The 20,651-nt window shown below is 36.3% G+C and overlaps 2 long non-coding RNA genes across 3 annotated transcripts in view; one reads left to right on the top strand and one right to left on the bottom strand.

Moving 5' to 3' along the window:
- LINC02742 (long intergenic non-protein coding RNA 2742) overlaps positions 1-20,651 on the bottom strand; it is a 162,086-nt gene that overhangs the window by 112,668 nt on the left and 28,767 nt on the right. The window lies entirely within an intron of this gene.
- Positions 10,626-20,651, top strand: part of LOC105376604 (uncharacterized) — a 46,463-nt gene continuing 36,437 nt past the window's right edge. Inside the window, exons 1-2 of one of the 2 annotated variants that reach the window (XR_007062638.1) lie at positions 10,626-10,895; positions 17,232-17,467. This is a non-coding gene — a long non-coding RNA (uncharacterized LOC105376604). The remainder of the gene's footprint in view (positions 10,896-17,231; positions 17,468-20,651) is intronic. The other variant, XR_931149.3, reaches the window with a different exon arrangement.

Raw genomic sequence — 20,651 nt, 5'->3', positions numbered from 1 at the left:
AAAATGTTTACTATTTCTTGCATTAGTTTGCTTTGGATATGGCACCAAACAACTTCAATATCTCAGTGGAATACATCTATTGCAGTTATCAGACTGTTTACTGGGCATGGGAAGTCTGAAAGGTCAATTTACAACTGAAGAATCGTCACAATCTTTTTAAGTTCATTCTAGCAATACAATTCTTTTAAAAACTTTATTGCCCTTTTCTTGGCCTATGTTATTCTATTCATTTCCTTTGCAGGAACCACATAATTGTTTTTCTGACATTCCCAGTTCTCTAAAACTGTGCTGTCCAATAGGGTAGCCATTAGTCACCTATGGCTATTAAGCATTTGCAATGTGACTAGTCTGAATTGAGATTTAAGTATAAAGCACACATCTGATATTGAACAAGAAGTACAAAAAATGGAGGTCTTAATATTTTTATATTGGTTACATGAAGAAATTATAATATTCTGTATATGTTGAATTAATATATCTTAAAATTAGCAAATGTATTGAATTATTTACATGTTTCTTTTTACTTCATAAAATGTGGTTAGCAAAATTTTAGGTTATATATGTGGTAGGTTGCAATATATTTCTGCTGGACTGTGCTACTCAATAGTTAATTTTGGCCACCTCAAGTTTAACATTATTCCTTGGGATAGCAACACATTTAGGGTCTTTGAGACATTTTGTCCAACAGAAAGAATTTTCTGAGTCTATCTTGATCCAACAAGAGGTCTTAAGGTGGAAGAGTCACACCATTAAATGGTTCTTTGCCTTGAGACTGTCTTAATTTGACAATAGTTTACTGTCAAATAAGAAAGCTGTGTGCCTTTCAACTGCCAGTCCTAGAATGTTGGAATTACAGTATCTCTCTTCCCATTCTTCTTCCTTGGAAACAGGCTAATTCTTCTCTTAGCTCATTCTTTATTGTAATATCTAATCAAATTTCACTAATGACAACCAACTCATGCTATGAAAATTCTGCTCAGTATCTCTTTGCCCAAAGTCACAAGTTTATTAGCTGCACTTTCTGTCTTCCAACTTATTGCAGGCAATTATTTTACCAAATGTTTTACCAATGCATAAGATAGATTGCTACATTTTTCTGCCTCCTTTCTAAGTTTGCTTGCCTATATATTTATCAGTCCTGTATTTAAAAGTTCTTTTTGGCATTATGCCACTTCTGGCACCATTCATTTTGCTGGTCAGTTTTTGTGCAGTAGCTTACAACTTCAAAATCTTAGTAGTTAATAAAAACTTCTTGCGCATATAACACGAGAACAATAGGCTTTTGTGGCTCTCATCCACTCTCCTGGACATGACTAGGCTCAAGTAGACTCTATATGTCTTCTCCTTCTGGAACCCAGGCTGAAGAGGCATTCACTAAATGAAAATGCTGTTCATTCTTGGCAGAAGGCAGGAACTAAAGAGGTAGTGTCAACGCATGAGGGCACCTTCAAAGCTTCTCTTAGGTATGGCAAAAGTCATATCATTAGCCAAGCCATGTCATATGACCAAGCTTGAAACCAATGCCTACACATAAATAAGGTAATGGTGGAGAGGAGATAAATAATTATGAACTTACAATTCAATATACCACATTACTCTCTCAGCATTATCTTTGACAGAATTTTGATGCAACAGAAGAAAATTAATATCCTCATCGTCCACCAAACATTCATGCCTAAGCAAGCATTCCCTGGCCTAGTCAATCTCTTTATCCATCAGCAGGAGTCTGGGAAGAATTTATCATCAGGCAAAAATAAAAAGTAACCTTCAGAAGGTGAATATTTGCTTCCAATGACAATATTTCCAAGATAATGTATCACAGACTGTGAGGTCAATGCTCTCCCAAAAAGCTATATCAAACATTTTTTGAGTATGAGAGACACCACAGCAATAAAGAATTAGACCTCCCTTAAAGTTAAAAGTTTAGCTCTGTTAAAACATTCACTGTTTTGCCTTGTACTTACATGTCATCTCACAAAACTGCATGCTAATATTTTTTTTTTCTGGCCAGCTTTTGAGCCCATCTAATTAAGAGGGATATTTCCTTTTCCCACCCTACTTCCTTTCTCTTTGACCTTCACCTATTAATACAGTGAAACCATCCTAATTTGAACTCTGTCTAAAAACCTGTACCTTCGATAATTCAAAGTAATTTTAATAATCTCAAAATAAGGTTTTTAACTTCCTTCAGGAAGAATGATCAATTTTTTTTCTTCTGCTTCTTCATTTTATTCCTAGAAAAACAAAATATTTTTCCTAGAAATGCCTGTGCTACTTCACAGCCATTTAAAAACTCTGTGTGCTTTTACTTTATGATTTCCAAGTTAAATATCCAAATGCAAGAGGGCTCTGTTCTACACTGCCACTTTGTATTTAAGTAAAATTTATTCAAATCTCAATTTCAAGAATGAGGATTTAGAAGCCAAAAATTAATTAACTCTATTAAAAATATTTTCTGTTTTTATTAATTTTAAAACTGTAAACATTAAAATGCTGGTGAAACTTTAGCCCAAATAGCCCTTATGTTTATTTACCTTTTTTTCTAGCAATTTAATAGTTGCATTTTACCTTTATTTGCCAGGTTTTCTACACGCCATGGACTTCATGTTTGTGATCCACAAAATTCATAAGTTGAAGTCCTAAACCCCCAGTGTAACTAATGTGGAGATGGGGCCAGTGAGGAGGTGATAAAGGTTAAATGAGGTCATAAGGGTGGGGCCCTAATCCTATAAGGACAGTACCCTTTTAAGAAGAAGAAGAAAGCCCTCCTCAGAAATAGAATTGCCAGTCATCTTGTTTTTAAACTTCCAGCCTCCAGAACTGTGAGAAACAAACTTATAGTCTGTGTTACTTTGTTATAGTAACCTGAGCAAAGTAATACACTACATTTGTAATTTATTTTTATAATTAGCTATTTTTCACACTATCACTTATTCAATAACCTACTATTTTATGGATTATGTTTGTCAACTTTTTAAATGTAGTATACTCTTACATATAATAGAATGCATTCTGAAATTTTCAGAATTTTACTTCTGCTCCTAATATACCCTGCTTTAATTTTTTACAACATTTTAAGATACTTTAAAGTCTGGTGGTATAAGCCTCCTCCACAGTCTTCCTCAATTATTTATCTTTTCCAAGTACTTTCAGGATATTCCTGCAAACAAACTTTAGAATGTCTTTGAATTATAATTGAGATTGATTTCAAATTACAAATAATTATGTACTAAATAACTTTAGAACATTGAGTTTTTCTAGTCAGGAATAGATATTTCTTGACTAAAGCCTTTTTCTGATCACAGAAGTTCTGAGGTTGTCCTCTTCTCATCTATTATATTTCTTGCTAAATTGTTTCCTTTATATTTTGTGTTTTTGCTACAATTATGAATAAGAGCTCCTTGTCACAAAAAAGTATTGTCATTGGTTAACTAAGATTTTAATTTCTCAGATCTTCAGCTTCAGATATTTAAATAAATTTAACCTACACCTTAATGTTCTAGCAGTAACCTATGACGATTAGACTGTAGAAGTACCATTTTTGCATAGACTCTTTCCTGGGCATCTTGAGCTCACTATACAAGGAATTGCATTTTGTGTAGGGTCTCCAAGTGTAGATAGTGTGGCCATATATATCCTCTTTCTGGCATTAGTTCTATCAATTTCAGAGAAGAACTCTTGAGAATAATCAAAGAATCTGAGAGAAACTCCTATAGTTAGGGCAATGATTGATTCATCTTTTAAAGCGGAACATTTTTGAGGGAGATAGCGTTATTTAAAACTTTACTAGGACAACAAGGATAAAATAAAGCTATTCCAGGCAGACCAGAATGAACCTACCAGTGGCCCATAGACTCTCTATATGTGGATCACTCTTAACCTTGAACCCCTCAACCTAGACTCTTCTGAAAGATGGCGATCCACCAATAAGTCTAAATGGCATCTACCTACGTAGTTTGTGGCCTCCCTGTGCTGCTTCTGGATCTGTTTTCCCTCAGATCTGGTTCTGACCTTTCCCCTACAACTGTACTCTAAATTCCCGTATCACCTGGCTTCCCACTGGGTTAGACTCATGGAAGACACAGGCAGGAGGAATCAGGGGACAGGAAAAGGGAGACTTCCAGGGTACATCCACTCCTCCTACTCAGCCTCAGGTGGCAACTCTGGCAGGGACTGCATTCTCTGAATGGCTCCAGTTTCTGCATACAGGCCTGCAGCGGTCTGTGTTTTCTAATTGTCCTTAGCAAGTCAATCAATGGAATTGACTTAGAGTTGTATTATCAGAAAAGTAAGAAGCTACTTTTGGAACTGGACCTTTGTTCTATTCCAGTGATGAAAAATGAAACTTTTTTATTGGGATTTTTTTAAATCAAAGATCATATATTTAATATATATAATTTTTCCTTAAGAAACTCATATATATAATAGTCTATCATACAGATAATGGTAATAACAATAATAATGAAATAAACTATGTGCCAGTTGCTGTGCCAGTGCTTAATTTGCATCATTTTGCTTATAAAAGCCAACCTAGAGAGGAAAAGTCTGACAATTCCTCCAGGTCCAATCCAGTATGGCACGTTTAAGGGGTCGGACACTTTTTTTTTTTTTTTTGCTTTCCTTGAAAAAAAAAAAGAAGCTAAATATCTAATGATGCTTAACATTTAAATCATCTTATCATGGGATGTTTTTATTTACTTTAACATGAATAATCCATGTCCTTTATGCAAAGAATACAAAACATAAATAAGCAAAAGGGAATATCATAGCATATATGCTTTTCTATATTTTTTCTCATATTGTAATTGAAGCATTTTTCCCATCTAAACATACAGATATAACTTATTCATAATATCCAAAATTTATTTCATTAAAAAATGCTCCATTGTGTATTTAATACTTAACATTTTCCATTTTCCCTATTATAAACAATAGTATGGAAAATAGGAAACACGCTGTAATCAATATATATGATTATCTACTTGTAAAAGTGTGAATTTCCAATAGAAGGTGTTTCGGCTCACAAGTCAAATGAGTTTTTAAAGGCTTTCCATTCACAATGTTCATTACTATCCAAAAAATGTATATGCCCATCTTTATTACCAGTATCAATAAAGGTGAAGTGTTTCTGTCTTCACCTCTTGCTGACAGGATATTACCATTCTTTTCCTTTTTATTGATTTGAAACATGTACAAATCATTTCAATTGCCTATTTCGGAATTATTTTATTACCAGCAAAGTTTCTATTTACTAAAAGCATGCTAATTGGCTATGTTTCTTCTTTTATTATTTGTCTATAAATGTCCTCAGACCACATTCTCTATTAAATAATTCATGTTCCTCATGTTTTTCTTTTATAGTTATGATAGCTAATTACAAGTCTTTGGTTGTCATAGGCATTACATATATTTTTTTCAGCGTGTCATTTGCCTTTCAAGTATGGTTTTAGTCTTTCACAATAGAGATTTTTATAAAATAAAAATAGTTAATTACAGTTCCTTAACCTGGAACTGGTTTGTTTTGGCAAGTTCTACTTGCCATGTGTGTAGGCTTGGACAAGTTAACCTTCTAAACTCTAATTTTCTCATCTGTAAATTACAGAAGATAATAGTGCCATCTCATAGAGTTGTTATAAGGATTAATTGTATTATATGTAAATTATATCTGGTAGGCAAATGTTATATAAAGCCTGATATGGTTTGGCCGTGTTGTCACCCAAATCTCATCTTGAATTGTTGTTCCCTATGTGTTGTGGGAGGGAGCTGGTGGGAGGTAATTGAATCATGAGGGTGGCTTCCCCCACGCTATTCTCATAATAGTAAGTTCTCATGAGATCTGATAGTTTTATAAAGGGCTTCCCCCTTTGCTTGGCTCTCATTCGTCTTCTCCCTGCCACCATGTGAAGAAGGACATGTTTGCTTCCCTTTCCACCATTATTGTAAGTTTTCTTTTCTTTTATTTATTTTATTTTATTTTTTGAGACGGAGTCTCACTCTGTTGCCCAGGCTGGAGTGCAGTGGCACGATCTGGGCTCACTGCAAGCTCCGCCTCCCGGGTTCACGCCATTCTCCTGCCTCAGCCTCCCAAGTAGCTGGGACTACAGGTGCCTACCACCACGCCCAGCTAATTTTACTTTTTTGTATTTTTAGTAGAGACGGTGAAAATTTTTAGTTTTCACCGTGTTAGCCAGGATGGTCTCGATCTCCTGACCACATGATCCCCCTGCCTCGGCCTCCCAAAGTGTTGGGATTACAGGCATGAGCCACCATGCCCAGCCAAACCTCTTTCTTTTATAAATTACCTACTCTCAGGTATGTCTTCATAGCAGTACGAAAACGGACTAATACAAAACCTGACACATACTAAGCCCCCAATCTATTCAAAAATAGTACCTTCTATCTCATAGTTTTCTTTTTTATATCATCTCTGTAGTCTAAAATAGCTCAAGTTTCTCCTGCATATAACCAGTGCATAATACCAGTGGTATTATGTGCACTTCCTCCAATGTAAAATTTAATGAAGTTCATTCATTGTTAGTTTTCTAGCAATTCTTCCTTATTAATTCATACTCTATCTTAACTCACTTTAGCGATTTTGCTCTTCATGTTTCCTATACTGCTGTTATTAAATTTTTCTGTCTATAAAAATACTTTATTCTGTTTCCTGCAATAGATTATTTTCAAAGGCATGCACTTTCTCTTCCTGGTTTCAAGGATAAAATGCTACTTTATTTTCCTTACATATTGTTTTCCCTTTATCCCCATGTTTTTAGTTACTTTGTTTTTGTTTCCTACATTTTTCTTCAAATAGAGTAAATTCTGCCTGACCAAAACCTTATTGGTTGTTTTTAGTATTGGTTCTCTCTCTCCCTCCTGTGACTTTGGGTGTTATCTCAATCTCTTCCTCAGTTCTAAAACTAAAGAGCTGGACAATTCTGTTTCTAAAGCAAATCTGGTCCACTTAATGTCTTCCGTATCTATTACCTGGCTCTCTGATTTTATGAACGAATGAAAAGTTTTTAAGAATTCTAGATAAATTATTGCCAGGGATTTTCTTGACTCTGTCATACCAAGAGTATTTTAATTGTGGAGACTTCACCTGCCTGGATATGGATACAACATACCACTGGTCCAGCCCATGTCCCCTTTTTATTTTTGTTTTTTTTTTTTTTTTTTTTTTTTTGAGACAGAGTCTTGCTCTGTCGCCTAGGCTGGAGTGCAGTGGCATGATCTCGGCTCACTGCAAGCTCCGCCTCCTGGGTTCACGCCATTCTCCTGCCTCAGCCTCCTGAGTAGCTGGCACTACAGGCGCTCACCACCACGCCCGGCTAATCTTTTGTATTTTTTTAGCAGAGACGGGGTTTCACCGTGTTAGCAGGGATGGTCTCGATCTCCCGACCTCGTGATCCACCCACCTCGGCCTCCCAAAGTGCTGGGATTACAGGCATGAGCCACCGCGTCCAGCCCGTGTCCACTTTTGTGATCTTCTCCATGTGCTTTCTTTCCAGTTCTTCACTGAAACTTTGTATATATGAATTTAGAATTGTGACAGAGGAGGAGAATGAGAGGAAAATGTATCAATTAATAGTATAATAGTCACCTGATAAAGTTACTCTTTCTTACTTGGCAAAGGGATTGCTGCCAGTTCTGAGATGGCTACAATCTATGGTACTATGAGTCAGGGCATATAAAATAGAGGAGGGATCTAGTTTTTATTTTTTCATATTTTTCTATATCTGAATGCAGTATCTATATCTGGAGTTAAAAACTGAGTATATTGTAGAACAAAGGATGTCTTAAAGGTTGGGAGAGTCTTTCAAGTATCTGGAAACCAAGGGAAGACAGAGAGAGCTGAGGCTATGAGGAGTCAAGGAAGATGAGTCTGGGAGAGTAGGCTGGGAACAGGCTGTAAAAGGCCTTGTATATTAAGGTATTTTGTTTGTATTTATAATGTAGGTAATGAGGAATAACAGAAGATGTTAACTGAGGGAATATCATAATCAGACTTGAGTCTTACAATGATTACCCTGTTGGGCTAAGATAGATTTAAGGAAAGCAGAGTCTAGAGTCATGGAGACAAATTTAGAAGCTATTATCATATCTAGGTGAGAGATCATGATGGCCAGAAAAAAGACTTCAATCATTGGTACAAAGAAGAGAGGAAGAAAATGAATTTCAAAATATTATTTATAAGCCTTCGTGGTAAAAGGTGCAACTGGAGAGAAGCCTCAACTGCATTTTCTTCATGCTACAACAAATACGACACAGGAAATTTCAAAAAAATGAAAATTTACGCCTCCAACAAAAACAGTTGTAGTGATGGATCAGAACAATTTTTTTCTGATGGGAGAAGAGGGCTTTGTAAATGCAGAGATGTCCTAATGAGGAAACCAGTAATAGAAAGTATCCAGGAGGAGTGAGATGCAGGACAGAGAAGAAAGCTGTGGATGCAGAAGGAGGACCCAAGGGCATCAAAGAAAGGCAAATGTGGCCCCTGTCACTGCTTTACCCCAGGGATGTATATGGAGAGTTTAAAATACCCTTCAAAATTTCAAGTAGTATCTAACCTAGCCTAAAATTTAAAATTTCCTCCAAACTTGATTTTTTAGTATGAAAATCTGATGTGTCTGTGAGGGGTGTGTGTGTGTGTGTGTACATAAAACATGAGCACATCAATACCTTAAGAGAGCATGTGGTCATGTGGTCTATTTATAGGCAAATTGTAAAAGAAGAAACATGGCCGGCCAGGCACAATGGCTCACACCTGTAATCCCAGCACTTTGGGGCTCAAGGCAGGTGGATCACTTCAGGCCAGGAGTTTGTGACCACCCTGGCCAACATGGTGAAATCCTGTCTCTACAAAGAATACAAAAACTATCTGGGCATGGTGGCATGCATCTATAGTCCCAGCTAATGGGGAGGCTGAGGCACAATAATTGCCTGAAACTGGAGGCTGAATTTGCAGTGAGCCGAGATCATGCCACTATACTCCAGCCTGGGTGACAGAATGAGACTCTGTCTCAAAAAAGAGGAAGAAACATGCCCTATTAACATTCCTCTAGTAAATGATCTATTTGCATTCTTCATCTTATGACTAGGAAAAATTCAGTCCTATATAGGAAATTGGTGTGGTTATTGGATAATTCCAAAGGTAGTAGATTGAACATGTATGTGTCTTTTAATCTGAAATGTTAAGAAAATATATAACAAGAAGTTTACACCTGATCCTTTTACCACAAACATTTTCAAGCATGCTTAGAAAGCAAAGCTGATATTCAGGTCAAATTCACACACACGCATATGTAAACTCCCATTTGTTTCTCTTTGATATTATCTTCCCCAATTTGTCCCTATACGGGCACCAGTTTCTCAAGTTGTATGTGATCTTTCCCCCTTGAAATGGGAGGTTCCAGGTGCCTTTTTAAAATAGTCATTCTCCAAAGAGAAATGCCAACTATTCTGGGTTGCTGAGTACTTTGAAGTTATTGTCCTTAAATGTAGTATAGAAGGCATAGGTGAATAAGAGGAGATTTAAAAATCTATCTTAAACATCCAATTCTTCAAGCTTTGTTCTGGCTCCTCATCTTCTAACTAGGACTGTCCCCTGCAAGTGAAGCAGGCTTTTATCTAATTCTAGCTGAAACTTGACAGTCTCATTAGTTTTTGATGACATTTCCTGTTCCTTCCATCACTGAGGCCTTTTGCATGACAGACACTGTCTGGCTGGGGCCCTGAAGTTTTCTTCAGAACTTCAACCCTCTGGTTTCCAGATGGGAATTCTTTTATATGTACATCAGCTCTCTGCCCAATTGATCTGTTTGAGGTATTTCTTTTGTCCTGTTTAACTATTTTCATGCTCAGTATCATTACTGGTACTCCCTGGAAATAATCCCTCCTATTATCCTACATCTTGCACTGTTGGGCTCTACAACGAGTTACTCAGAGGAGAGGAAGGGGACAAAGCCTCCCTCCAAGACTCATGTGATTTCAGAGATATTTCTGGGAAAGACTGTGAAGAAACAAATAATTTTAATAGCTCTTCCATCCTCTTTCTCTTGCCCCCTATCTGAGGTTTTTGTGGCTCTTCTGTGCAAGTGCTTTAGGACCTCATTTCAAGTTCTAGAAGAAGGGGTTAGGAATTCAGGAGCAGCTTAGCTAAGCAGTTCTTACTCGGGGCATCCAAAGCAGTCAAGGTGCCAGCTGGGGCTGTGGCCATCTGAAACCTTCCTCCAGAGGTGGAGAATCTACTAACACGGTGGCTCATACACATGTCTGGCAAGTTAGTGCTGGCCTTTGGTGGGAGGCCTCAGTTCTTGGCACATAGGAGGTATTCAATTAACATGAGCTACTTAAGAGTCCTTATGACATAATGGATAGCTTTTCCCTTAATGCGTGATCCCAGAGACCAAGGTGGACGCTGTAATGCCTTTTATGATGCTAGAAGGGAGTCACAATTCCCTTTATGACCCAGGATCAAAGGTCACTCATCATCACTTCCATCGTACATTATTAGATCACACAGGCCAAATATCATGCAGTGGGAGGGAACTTTTAATTTTTAGTTTATTCTTTATTTACTTTAAAAAAGAATTAGAAGAACAGATTATCTATAAATGTATATGTATATTACACATATACATATATATGAACAATTTAAAGTTTACTCAAGAATGTGTATTTTTTCTACATTATAAAATGTGGTATTGGGTTCTAGGAAATTATTTCAAACTACACGATCATTTGAAGAAGATAGCTCTTAGGAAAAAAGAGATGATCTCCTCTAACTTCTTAGAACCACTGCACTGCCAAATGGGGATTTATTTCTATTGCCTCATCCAAGTCAGTTCCAAAGCTTAACTCTTCCATGAAGTTTTCCATGATCAATCCTGCCTAAGGTAATGTCCCCTTGCTGCAAGCTACTGTCATCCATGCTATTTGTACCATCCACGGTATATGATATTCAATGCACTGTTGTGTTGTCAACTATTTTTAATGTGTATATTTCCATGCTATTCAAAACATCTGAGATTCTTAAACTGTTTTCTGTTTATAAAATGAGTTGAAGAGAATAAATGTCTTGGCACACACTAGGTTTTCAATTAATGTAAGTCTTCTCCTCTTCCTATGTGTTTCTGCCTACACCACCAAACACTGAGCCATACATATCACAAATATATATTAAATGTAGGCGGATTGGTTGAAAGGCATGATGTGATAGTCTCTATGCGGGCATATTACATTACACACTATATAAATGAAATTGTCATGTATAATATTCACATTCACCCAAAAGTTCCGAAACAATCAACCCTACCTCAGAAAGTTAATGAGGGGCATAAAGAAAGTGAGCGTGTTCTCTCTCCAACTAGACAGATGTTTACATTCTGTATAAAACACAGGACTTGCACGGGTCCCAGCTGGGACTTCCTATTACATGGCCCATTAAGATCCATGTGGTTAGAAGAGCTAATAAATATTAAGACCTATTTTCTACCCATGGGTGGGTAGGTTGATTTCTATATACCTGGGAACAGAATCACACACAAGCATTGACTATATGACTTTGAAAAGGAAGTTTTTACTCAATTCTTTTTTTTTCTTCCTTCTTTCTGCAAACATGATGCTCTATGACAAAGGTCTGAAAGTGGAAACCCAAGGATCCTGTCGTGCTGCAGATGTATTTTAGCTTGTATGGTGGTGATTTTTATTTAAATTAAACCATCATTTAATAATAAAGGAAATCACAGAAAAATCTCACATTGATCTTTTCTAAAAACTCTGAAGATCTGTCAGCATGGACTCTAACACCTGGATGGTGACCAAAGGGTGTAGCTAAGTAGCAACTGCCCTTACAAGAAGAAGATTTATATTAAAACAGCTGATACAAATGACAGCACGTTAAAAGTAGATGCCTCAGGTGCTCTGAGGAGTAGGTTTTTATTCTGAAGCAGGAGGATCACACAAAGCTTGTTAAAGAAATAGCATTGGAGTGGAGTGTTAAGATTTGGCTTTGGATACACAAAGAAGATAATGGAGGCAGAGAAGGAAAGCATGACACATTTTTGTGGCTAGCTAATTAGCAGTTTTGGCTGGAACAAAATCTTCCCATAGTAGAGTAAGGAGAAAATTAGTTTGGGGAGTAAGGAACAAATTTTTGAGGTAATTTCAATGCCAGATAGAAGAGTTTACACATAGTTTTATAGGCAATCAAGTCATTCAGGGTTTTTTTCGATCTTTCTCTCTTCATTATTTCTTTTCCTTTCTAATTTTATGATGCTATCAGTTCTTTATATTGATGTATTTTCTGTTTATTTTACTTATAAAATTTCTTTTTATAAATCTCCTGCCAACTCTCTAAGAATGGACAAAATATGAATCTATGATATTTATAAGGCTTACATTAAACTATATATAACTCATAGTAAAATAGTGTCTTGTGGCTTAACCTAATTTTCTTTTAGATTCCAACTACAAACCAGCAATATAAGATGCCAATTCATCATAGACAATTAGAATACCTTGGTAGAAACTCAGGGAGAAATGGAAGCTTATGTCCCATTGTGGGTCATTTCTGTCATGTGGTAACCATAAAGATCACTCTCATATTTTAGGACACAAATGTTTCTAGCTTTGATTGCTCAGATTCCTAGATTCTGGACATCAGAAGCAAAGGTCTACCCAACTCTCCACATCAGACTGCTTCCTGCTGCCAGTGAAGCAGTCAGCCATGTGTAAACACCAGTGGAATTTTATAAGCCTTTGTAATTAGCAAGGATAATTTCTATTTGCGATTAGAAAAAAACGAGTCTGTGTCTCTATTTCCTGTTTGTGTTTTGTTGTTATAATATTGAGATTGTGCAGGGTTTTGAATGTTATCTGTAGAACAATGTCAAAACAACTTTGCTCTGAAGATTTAATTTTTCAATAGACAAGAATTATGGCTGCATTTGTACAGAGTCCCCTATGACAAGGGATAATTCATTCAGAGAAGACCAGCTGAGGTGCAACTACCTTTCTGTCCCCTCAAGTTGTGACTTGGACACCAGTCTAAACAGAGAGTTTTGTAAACCTCTGTGCCATAAGCAGAGGCTTTTCTGTTCTGTCTAGGGGCTGAGGTCCCTCAGCCAGAGGCCTGCTGACAGGTCAAGTATGGTAGTATGAAAACATGCCCCTTTCCACATTCACATTTTTTGACATTCCTCCCATCAAGAGGCAGGTTCTGTGTCCCCTCCCTCTTCATCTGAGTGGGCTTCTGACTGCTTTGACCAATGGAGGAGCTTGGAATGTTGTTAAGTAGCTTCTGAGAGAAGGTCAGAAAAGACCACGTAACTTGATGCTGTTGAGATGTTTGCTCTAAACTAAACCAGCTACCACTTAAGAAGTCCAACTATACCCTGAGGCCAAGATGCCAGAAAGACTACATATACACACTCAGGTTTACAGTTCAGTCCATCCTCACTAATGCACCTGACATGTGAATGATGCCATCTCAGGCCCTCCAGACCAGTCCATCCAACATATTGGACAACTCTGCTCTCAGGAAATGCCACAAGGAGCAAAAGGTGTGCCCAAAGAACACTCCTCAAATTCCTCACCCACAAAATAGCAAAACAGTGTGTCTGTTTTACACTGCAAACTTGTTCCGTGGTTTGTTATACATCAGTAGTACCCAGAACACACTTTGCTGTTATTTTTGTTTGTTTGTTTGTTTGTTTGTGGTTTTTTGGTATGGTAACAAGGCTAGAACTAAGAATAATCAGTGCAAGTTACAAAGAAATGTGTATTAATTTAATATGCAAAAAGCTAATGTATTCTATAACGAAATGGGTTGCTACAAAAAATAAAGAGATTCTTGACACTGGAAACAGTTAACCAGAAGCCATGTGACTATATACTTGAAATGTTGTCCTAGAAATGAAAATATCAGATAAACAGAAAGTAAGAAAGACTTCCAGCTCTGAGAATAGCTGTATGCAAAGCAACATTAAATGCTAATATCTCATTTTACTTAATCTTCATTTATCAAAATGGCATAAATATATATTTATTTAATTTGGACCTGACAGTTCTGTAAAGTAAATTGAGACATGCATTGTCTCTATTTTTAATAGTTATAGCCAGTATATTTATTAAATAATTACTAAGTATTAGGATTAAACAAAACATTTAAGATGTGTAATGTAATTAAACCTCAGAATAACCCAATGGAATACATTCTATTGTGATTCCTACTTTATCCTGGACACAAGACACAGAGAGGGTAAGTAATTGACTAAGGACACACAGGATGAGAGGTGAAGACAATCAAGCCCAAACTGTTAGACTACAGAGCCTGAAATCTTAATCACTATCTGAGGCATCTTAGGCTGGGTGCATAAGAACATATACCACATTTACCATAATAATGGCTGACAGACTTGACTTGTTTTCATTGAATCTTAGGGTTTTATTGTTTGTTTTTTTGTGGTGTGTGTGTGCATTTGTGCAAACTTGTGTGTGTATGTGTATGTGTTGGAGTAGACAATGGAAATACAAATCTTTAATGGAACTTTGATTAAAAACTTTTGAATTTTTCATAATCTTGGTTCTTGATGTTTAGAGTGTGTATTTACTTAGCCAACCCTATTAACACAAACACCTTGAATTTTCTCAAAACCACATCACAGTATTGTGGAATTAGACAAGACTGAGAGGATTTGTCTCTTTTTCTCTCTGGCTTGCGCTCCCCTTTCTGTCTCTCTGCCCCCTTCCCTCTCTCCCTCCCTTTGTAATAAGCTAATGTTTTCCCAAGAGTGTACTCCACACCAGGCACATTGCTGGGGGATTTAATTCTTTCGACCACCCCAGTGATATCATACACAATTTCTGGATGAGAAATTGAAGTTCAGAGAGCTTTTAATACAAGAGTTTTTAAGTGACAGCATCATAATTTGAACCCAAGTCTTTCTAGGGGAAAAGGCCATGCTTATAACTACCCAATAGTGTTACTATTAAATGAACCCAATTAAAATCAAATACCCTACCAATCTTTCTAGAAAAAATACACATTTTCTTCAATGCCCCATTCCAAAGTAAACAAATCCTTACATTAATAAATCCCCTTTCTATTTGGGTTAATAATCTCATATTTCAATGTAAATATTTTTCTTTTCTCTGATTTAAGTGGAGACTTAGAAATGCTAACTGTTGTATTTATGAAACAATCTTCTACTCTTCACATTATTGACCAGCACTAATTTATTGTTTAATGTGGCACCATATTTTGGTTGAAGAAGCCCTCAGGTAAGGACTCAATGTAGTTCACAGTAATGCAGGCAGTCCTAGGTTAAAATTCCATCTTCAAACTCTTCCAATTCTTTGTCCTTGTACAAGATGTGTAAGCTCTTGGAAACCTCATTTCTCCTATCTACAAAATGGGGATATTACTGCCTGCTTCAGAGGATTGTGTGAGAATTAAATGAGTCAATGGGAGTGATTAACATGGTGTCATAAAAAAAACAACTACTAAGCTCTGTCCTTTATAAATATACAATTCCCAAGAAAATCCTACGAAGTAAAAACCATTATAATCATTATTGCAGTTTTATAAGAGAGGAATGGAAGTACAAGGAGGCTAAGGAAGTTGCATAATGTTGTCAAGCTAGTAAGTAATAGAGCCAAAATCTCAATGCAGGCAATCTAGCTGCTCTTTAACAAAATGGTATGCATACAAATTAGTAGGTAGATCAAATGTGGTGGCTATTTTTAACCAATATTAATAGTAAGATTTAAGAATATGAATTCAAATGTAGTCTTTCTGTAAGAAAACGGATAATTGATATTTCTTCATTATCTGTAAATATAGTATCCCTTGTCTATAAAATGAAAATCGAGCACTTATATCTAAGAAGAAAGTCTTAGATAATGCAAGTTCATAAGTGAAATACTGAAATATATAATGGCAAAGTAATGTAATTGTCTAAACCAGTAAATTTATATTTGTTATTTTGTTTCAGCGAACAATTAAAAATAATATTGATGCCAATAAGAAAAACCAACATTTATTTATCACTTAGTACCTAAAACTTCTAAACACATCACATGGCCTATTTAATCCTAACAGCAAAACAATAAACTAGGTACAGTGTGGTAACATCATACATACTTTCAATATATTCAAAATCAAATACATTTACTCAGCAAATTAAAAAAATTACAGTGAGAGAAAGAAGAAAACAACATAGACATAAAAATTATCTGCCCTTATTCCACTCAAAGAACATGTGTCGCAAAAGGAACATAATTTGTCAGACTTAAATATATTTTTCCTTTTATTCGTCTCATAACATCTGACATGTTAAATTTACTCTTCAAAAGTACATATATTTCAGATAACATCATCTGTAAACATAAACCAATTTACTTATCCATGGTTCCAATGAAGAAGTGGTGATACATTTCAATATAGAAAAGTAATTGTTATGTTGGATTTACGAAAGAACAGTATGTCTATATAGAATAGACATTTAAGAAATTTCCAAGGATAAATCTAGTTGTATCTGATTTCTATCATTTGTATTGTAGAAACGAATCCCCCAGAAAGATGAAATTCTGCTCTATTATTTTACAAATGAGGATACTGAGACTTAAAGCATTTGCATAGTCTTTTGGGTGGCAGAGATGGGATTTATTTAAATCTAGGCCTCCCTAATTATTCTGTGCTACCTCCCAAATAAAAATCTAACTGGTAAGGGAAACTTGATATTCTCTTTATGGAAAAAACTTTCACTTAAGATAGGTAAGTCAAATCCCATTATAGAAAAAAAGTCGCTTCAATTCACTAACTCTACGTCTCAAAAAAGGCCAACTTGTTTCAGCAATTTTCAGGGCACAGTACAACAAATATAATGTGATCAGTAGATAAAACACTAATCTTGCAATGGATATTTTTCTTCTGATTATTTATATATCTGATAAATTTCACTTTGATGTTTGTTATTTTTAAGAAAATGCTATACATTTTCACCATTCTATGTAATTAATTTCTGTAGCAATTTCAAACTTTAGTTTTATACTGCTTTCAAAACTCATTAAAACATTTTTTAAAATTTATATCCTTAAGATAACTACTGCTAGGATTTTAAAAAAGTCAAATTATATTGACTAGGTCCTCAGGAACTTAATTCATTACGGTACACTGAGCATTTACATTGATCCCACCCTTCTTTCCCCAAATCTCATGGACATGACAGAGAACAGGAACAAACCAGAGAAAATTATATGTGTGAGAATGGAATAAGGGCTATCAGAAGATAGAAATTTTGACATATTTCTGGAAGATGGAAGCATAAAGCAGACTGGAAGAAGCTCTAATCCAGAAAACATACAGAAGCCTTCAACGGATGTGTGGGCTGCTCTTCCTGAGAGAACCATAAGAAGATTCCAAGCTTGGCAACGGCAGGTATGGGGACCAGCAATAGGAAATAAGGTGAATATTAAGGTAACTAATTAAAAACTTAATACGAAATGACTACATAAGCTGCTTCCCCAATAACTCTTGAAGCAAACAAAATACAGTGTGAAGGGTTTCTGGGATACATGATGGCCTCTGAGAGCAAATCTCACCCATGAATATAAATGACTGTTTCATATATTATCACAAAATGAAGCCTTCTAATTTATACATTTGCCCAAGCACAAAGCACACTTTCTTCCCTTTTACAGAGAAATACATTTTGAAGAAAGAGGTATATACACCAAAAGAGCAGGCTCATACAAGCCACCTATATTGATTAACTAGTCCTGCATTTATAAGTATAAAAAAGAAAACCAAAGAGTACCAGACATCTGGGAAAACTAACTGCATGAAAAAAGGCTCAGATGGACAACAACAAAAAACTAACCGAGGTGGAGGGAATGAAAGATCATTTAAAGGACAAAACAGAAGTAAAAACAAAATTATAGTGATTATTCTCAGAAAAGTACAAAAATACAGTATGATGAGGAATCGAGAAAAAGCTTTCTGGAAAAACAAAAAGAAGACTCATAAAGACAGAAATCTTAGAAATTAAAATATATGACTGCTATTTCTTTTTCTAGCAACAAGACAAACTAGATATCCTAAAATCCCTCAAATATCTAATAATGTAAAAAAGTTTAGCCAGGTGCGGTGGCTCACGCTTGTAATCCCAGCACTTTTGGAGGCTGAGGCAGGCAGATCACCAGAGGTCAGGAGTTCGAGACAAGCCTGGCCAACATGACGAACCCTCATCTCTACTAAAAATACAAAAATTAGACAGGTGTGGTGGGTGCCTGCAGTCCAGCTACTGGGGAGGCTGAGGCAAGAGAATCACTTGAACCTGGGAGGCGGAGGTTGCAGTGAGCCGAGATCGTGCTACTGCACTCCTGTCTGGGCAATAAGAGTGAGACTCAATCTCAAAAAAAAAAAAAAAAAAAAAAAGCTCACAACTTAAATTCCAAGTTCAGGAGGTGGCTAAAATGCGGGAATGTGGGAAGGACAGCAGGAGGTGAAATTGATGAGAGAGGTTGGAACAGATTTCAGAAGGCCATGGATAGAGTACTCTCCACAGAGGTTGTAAGGAAGGAGAGTGACAGGGTGTGTTTTTAAGGTAATGTCCTTGGGTGGCACTGTGTGAATTGGACTGGAAGGAGGGAGACTGATCAGAAGGTTTTCAGATATTCCAAACAAGGCATAGATACAAAGCTAGGGAACAAGGTAGTGTCAATGGGGATGAAGGAGTACTTGGCAGGGATGAATAAGTAAAATATATTTTAAAGGCTCTAATGAGTGATTTGAAAGGGAAAAGGAGTAATAATCTGAAACCAAACAAACAACAAGAGCTAGCATCCAGGGATTAAAGTCAGCAGTGAAGCCATGATATACCCTGGGGACACTCACAGAGACTATGTAATTGAAGCTTCATAACACTTTAACAGGTAGAGAACTGACTAGCTTCCACTAGGAATTAACAATGATTAAGGAAGGTCTGCAACCTCTCAGAAGGAAAGAACTAGTGCAAAAGAAAAGACATAAATAAAAAGATTATTCATCTTCTCTAAGGTTCTTGATCAAAAAGCCAAATTGTGGTTTTGAACTTGTGTCTACTAGTTGTGTCTACAAGTTGTGGTTCTTGAATTTTTATCTATTAACTAGTCTGCAATTGAATTTAGAGGCTAGCTTTACATTAGTTATGTGCTTTCCAAAACCAAAGACCTGGGTTTTTAATTTAATGTAGTACCTCAGATGCTAGACAGAAGCAAATAAACTGTCTATCCTGAAAGAATGCTTCTTATACCCAAACCTAAAGGACAAGAAGGCACAGAATCACAGTAAATATGACCTCAAAATAAATACACCCAAACATATATATACACACTAACAATGCACAAGGAAATAAGCGCCATGAGAAGTTGCCAGAGGAAATATCAAGAGAATCAGCATGGAATGTTAAATAAAATACAAAGAAAAAAGTATAAGAATAGAAATGATTGGAAAATAAACATATAATTGAGAAGAATAAAAATGTGAAAAGTTGATGTTATAAAAAGACAAAAAAATTGGAAATCATCATTCCCAGTAAACTATCACAAGGACAAAAAACCAAACACCGCATGTTCTCACTCATAGGTGGAAATTGAACAATGAGAACACAGGGACACAGGAAGGGGAACATCACACTCTGGGGACTGTTGTGGGGTGGGGAGAGGGGGGAGGGATAGCATCAGGAGATATACCTAATGCTAAATGATGAGTTAATGGGTGCAGCACACCAGCATGGCATATGTATACATATGTAACTAACCTGCACATTGTGCACATGCACCCTAAAACTTAAAGTATAATAATAATAAAATTTAAAAAAAAAGACAAAATATACAAATCTTTGGCAAGTTTGTTCAAGAAAAAGAGGGAGAAGCAACATATAAGTAAAAAGGGAAATAAATATTTAAAAAGATTAAAAATACAAGAAGAATACCATTAAAAAGAGAACACTGCCAGTCTGAGTGGCTCACACCTGGAGTCCCAGCACTTTGGGAGACTGAGGCAGGAGGATTGCTTGAGCCCAGGGGTTTGAGACCAGCCTGGGGAACAGAGCAAGACCTCGTCTCTGCAAAATATAAAAAATAAAATAATTTGCCATGCATGGTGGCATGCACCCACTGAGGTGGGAAGATTGCTTGAGCCCAGGAGGTCCAGGCTGCAGTGAGCTATGATTGCCACACTGCACTCTAGATCCAGCAACAGAATGGAAAAAAAGAAAAGAGAGAGAGAGATAATATCATAAACCATCATATGTCAGCACATTTGAACATTTACATGAAATAGACAAATTCTTAGGAAAATATGATTTACAGAACTGACTCAAGAAGAAACAGAAAGTATGTAGTCCTATAATTATTCATAAAATTTGACAGAGCAGGAGCACTGTCATCTTGGACAAACATCACCACTTTAAGTTCCAGCTCCCTTTCTAGCCTCATGCATTTCAAGGAAACCACTTCTCTTCTAACTACAAGCATCCAGAAAGGGCAGACAGTAAAATACGGATAAGACAACTCAAACACAGAGGGAGATGGGGGAAAAGTCTCTTGGGTAACCGCCAAACTTCCTCATACAATGGGCCCAAGTAAAACAGTCGGCCTTAATAAGG

The sequence above is a fragment of the Homo sapiens genome, chromosome 11 (genome assembly GCF_000001405.40).
Source record: "Homo sapiens chromosome 11, GRCh38.p14 Primary Assembly".
Lineage (NCBI taxonomy): Eukaryota > Metazoa > Chordata > Mammalia > Primates > Hominidae > Homo > Homo sapiens.
The sequence above is the reverse complement of the archived record's forward strand: the minus strand, read 5'-3'. Positions and strand labels throughout refer to the sequence as shown.